This window comes from Homo sapiens, chromosome 21, assembly GCF_000001405.40.
Source record: "Homo sapiens chromosome 21, GRCh38.p14 Primary Assembly".
Lineage (NCBI taxonomy): Eukaryota > Metazoa > Chordata > Mammalia > Primates > Hominidae > Homo > Homo sapiens.
In genome coordinates this window covers 33,487,817-33,492,168 of record NC_000021.9, presented here as the reverse complement: position 1 = coordinate 33,492,168, position 4,352 = coordinate 33,487,817, and the positions used below count along the sequence as shown (strand labels likewise).

At 46.1% G+C, this 4,352-nt stretch overlaps 1 protein-coding gene across 3 annotated transcripts; it reads left to right on the top strand.

Annotated features, from left to right (window-relative positions):
* On the top strand, window positions 453-4,114 carry DNAJC28 (DnaJ heat shock protein family (Hsp40) member C28). 3 transcript variants are annotated; one of them, NM_001320746.3, is made up of 2 exons: window positions 453-544; window positions 2,745-4,114. In NM_001320746.3, the coding sequence occupies exon 2, from the start codon at window positions 2,776-2,778 to the stop codon at window positions 3,940-3,942; it is 1,167 nt and encodes a 388-aa protein (NP_001307675.1). In that variant the 5' UTR covers window positions 453-544; window positions 2,745-2,775; the 3' UTR covers window positions 3,943-4,114. The 3 variants fall into 3 exon arrangements, with proteins under 3 accessions (NP_001307675.1, NP_001035282.1, NP_060303.2); NM_001040192.3 differs by having other exon boundaries at window positions 453-567; NM_017833.5 differs by lacking the exon at window positions 453-544 and adding an exon at window positions 768-1,103.

Below are 4,352 nucleotides of genomic sequence, written 5' to 3'. Positions count from 1 at the left end.
TTTTTCTTTTTCCTTGTTAAAAAACTTGCTTCCTGTACAGAGAGGGGAAATGCTCAGTCCCCACGTCAGTGGTTGAACTCCAAGCCAGAAGATCCCTATTTTGATTTTGTCCTCTGGCCTGTCGCCAGCCCCTCAACAGTACTTGAATTAATAAAAGGGCAGGTTTTAAGCCTCATGTATCTGCGCAGGTGACTCCTTCTGTGACCCCGAATAAACCTGTTCCGGTCCCGTTCCGGGGAAACAGCCTTGCCTTCCCCTGCCCCCAGAAAGTTACCCTCGCCCTCCGAGCCACAACTCCCCACGCCGCCAACTCGGTCTTTACATCATTTTCGACGCCCCCTAAGTCCCTCCCGAGAGGCGCAGGCGCACATCGCCCCTTCTAGCGAACTACATCTCCCACAATCCCAATCGGCCGGACCACCTCCGCTCGGGGCGGGGACGGAGGTGGAGCTGGTGGTCCCCGGTCGGGACGAAGGCTCCCGAGGTGCCCTGCCTGGGTCCTCCGGGGTAAAGTTCGTTTGGCGGAAGATTGTCCGTTTTCCTGGTAAGGTCACCTGTCCCAATCAGGTACGATTCTGCCTTCCGTACCCCCGAGCCCCTCAGTGTAAAGTGGCAAATGGTCTAGCCCGGCGGAGGCACCAGCTGGAGGCGGTGGGAGGGACACCCGCAGTGAAGGGCGGACCGCGCACGCATGCGCAGAGGCGCGGCAGGGGGGCGGGAGCCGCGGAACCCCTACCCCAGGTCTGCGCAGGTGAGGAGGGGGCGGGGCAGGACCGACCTCCCTTGCCATGATAACCACCTTCGCAGCCGGCTCCCAGACCGTTGGCACCGATTGCCTAGAAAATAGGGGGTCTCAGGAGCTCCGTTTTAGCGTTTATATATCCCAATTCCAATTAAGCCACTTCCAGTATTTTTTGGCCATTGTCAGTGTACAAGTCTTCCTCCTCTTCGAGACCATGTTATTGCAATAGCAGCAAACGTGTTGGGAGGCCTCACAATTCATCATGGTTTTTCTGGCCTCTGGCAGATAGCTCCTTCCTAGCGAGCTGTGGAGCTTAAAGTCTTTTGGACACTTGATTCTATTCAATCCAGTATCAGACCAGGTACGTACCTTGTCCATAAGTCGTCTTATGAGAAGACTTCTTGAGATGATGCAGACTCTCGTGCAGTTTATAATCGGCTGGAGGTATAGACAGTTAAGCAAGCCTCCTTTTTTACTGTGCCCACCCCTAACCATTTTGCTTACACCTTGTTATGGGACTTGGTTAAATTGCTTAACCTTCCGGACCTACGTTTTCTCATTAAATGAGAAGATTGGATTAGATGATCTCTAAGAACTTTCCACTTGTAAAATATACGGTTAGTTAGTGAGGGGTAGAATCCAGATTCTATCTATCTATATTTTTTTGAGACAGAGTCTCACTCTGTTGCCCAGGCTGGAGTGCAGTGGCACGATCTCGGTTCACTGCAACCTCCACCTCCCGGGTTCAAGCGATTCTCTTGCCTCAGCCTCCCGAGTAGCTGGGACTGCAACCTCCAGTTAATTTTTGTATTTTTAGTAGAGACAGGGTTTTGCCATGTTAGCCAGGCTGATCTCGAACTCCTGACCTCAGGTGATCCACCCACCTCGGCCTCCTAAAGTACTGGGATTACAGGCGTGTGCCACCGTGCCTGGCCCCACAATATGTTAACACTAAACTTCATCAGCTTCCACTTTTCTGCCCACATCAGTGAAATATAGCTATAAGAATGCAGCTGGTGGGGCTGGGTGCGGTGGCTCACGCCTGTAATCCCAGCACTTTGGGAGGTCGAGGCGGGCAGATCACAGGGTCAGGAGATCGAGACCATCCTGGCTAACACGGTGAAACGCCGTCTCTACTAAAAATACAAAAATTAGCCAGGAGTGGTGTCGTGCACCTGTAATCCCAGCTACTTGGGAGGCTGAGGCAGGAGAATCGCTTGAACCCGGGAGGCAGAGGTTGCAGTGAGCCGAGATCATGCCATTGCACTCCAGCCTGGGTGAGACTCTGTCTCAAAAAAAAAAAAAAGAAAAGAAAAGAAAAGAAAAAAGAATGTGGCTGGGCACAGTGGCTCACCCCTATAATCCCAGCACTTTGGGAGGCAGAAACTGGCAGATCGTTTGAGCTCAGGAGTTGGAGACCAGGGTGGGCAACATGACGAAACCCCATCCCTACAAAAATACAGAAATTAGCCAGGTGTGGTGGTGCACGCCTGTAGTCCTAGCAACATGAGAGGCAGAGGTGGGAGGATCACTTCAGCCCAGGAGGTTGATGCTGCAGTGAGCCACGATTGTGCCACTGCACTCCAGCATGGGCAACAGAGCAAGACCCTGTCTCAGACAAAAAAAAAAAAAAAAAAGGCTGAGCGCAGTGGCTCATACCTGTAATCCCAGCACTTTGGGAGGCCGAGGCGGGCAGATAACCATGTCAGGATATCCAGACCAGCCTGGGCGATATGGTGAAACCCCTTCTCTACTAAAAATACAAAAAAATTAGCTAGGCGTGGCTCTGGAGGTGGAGGCACCACTGCACTCCAGCCTGGGTGACAGAGCGAGACTCTGTCTCAAAAAAAAAAAAAAAAGGAAAAAGTTGACAGCAGCATTCAAAAGAACTGCCCCTTGTTGTACTTATAAATTCATGCTGTATCTTTTACCTTATTGCTGAAAATAAGAAATTAACTGATAATACAACTTTGTTCAACCTATATTTGTTGTCGTTTTATAGGTCATTGCTAGGAAGAACTCTGGGTACAATAATGAATACAATGTATGTGATGATGGCTCAGATCTTAAGATCTCACCTGATAAAGGCTACAGTGATTCCTAATCGAGTGAAAATGCTTCCATATTTTGGTATCATTAGAAATAGAATGATGTCAACCCATAAATCCAAAAAGAAGATCAGAGAATATTATAGACTGCTGAACGTGGAGGAAGGATGCTCTGCAGATGAAGTCAGGGAATCTTTTCATAAGCTTGCCAAGCAATATCATCCTGACAGTGGCTCTAATACTGCTGATTCTGCAACATTTATAAGGATTGAAAAAGCTTATAGAAAGGTGCTCTCCCATGTGATAGAACAAACAAATGCCAGTCAGAGTAAAGGTGAAGAAGAAGAAGATGTAGAAAAATTCAAATATAAAACACCCCAACACCGACATTATTTAAGTTTTGAAGGTATTGGTTTTGGGACTCCAACTCAACGAGAGAAGCATTATAGGCAATTTAGGGCAGACCGTGCTGCTGAACAAGTGATGGAATATCAAAAGCAGAAACTACAAAGCCAGTATTTTCCTGATAGTGTAATTGTTAAAAATATAAGACAGAGCAAACAGCAAAAGATAACGCAAGCTATAGAACGTTTAGTGGAGGACCTCATTCAAGAATCCATGGCAAAAGGAGACTTTGACAATCTCAGTGGGAAAGGAAAACCTCTGAAAAAGTTTTCTGACTGTTCTTACATTGATCCCATGACTCACAACCTGAACCGAATACTGATCGATAATGGATACCAACCAGAATGGATCCTTAAGCAAAAGGAAATAAGCGATACTATTGAGCAACTCAGAGAGGCAATTTTAGTGTCTAGGAAAAAACTTGGGAATCCAATGACACCAACTGAAAAGAAACAGTGGAACCATGTTTGTGAGCAGTTTCAAGAAAACATCAGAAAATTAAACAAGCGAATTAATGATTTTAATTTAATTGTTCCCATCCTGACCAGGCAAAAAGTCCATTTTGATGCTCAGAAAGAAATTGTCAGAGCCCAGAAAATATACGAGACCCTTATAAAAACAAAAGAAGTCACAGATAGAAACCCAAATAACCTTGATCAAGGAGAAGGAGAGAAAACACCTGAAATCAAGAAAGGTTTTTTAAACTGGATGAATCTGTGGAAATTTATTAAAATACGATCATTTTGATGTTTACTATCATAAATCATTCTTAGTTCCACTGACACTTTACATGGAAAATGAGATTTATTGCTATAATACAAGAATTTAAGAATTGTGCCATTGTACTTATCACAAAACTAATCACATAGCCAATGATGTGTGAGTGAGAAACCTATCAGGTTTGTCCTGAGGATATAGCAAGAAAAGAAAATAACTGAAACTCCTTTTTTTTTGAGACGGCGTCTCGCTCTGTCACCCAGGCTGGAGTGCAATGGCACAATCTAGGCTCACTGCAACCTCTGCTTCCCAGGTTCAAGTGATTATCCTGCCTCAGACTCCCGAATAGCTGGGATTATAGGCACACACCACCATACCCGGCTATTTTTGTATTTTGTTTTCTTTTTTTTTGAGACAGAGTCTCACTCTGTCGCCCAGGC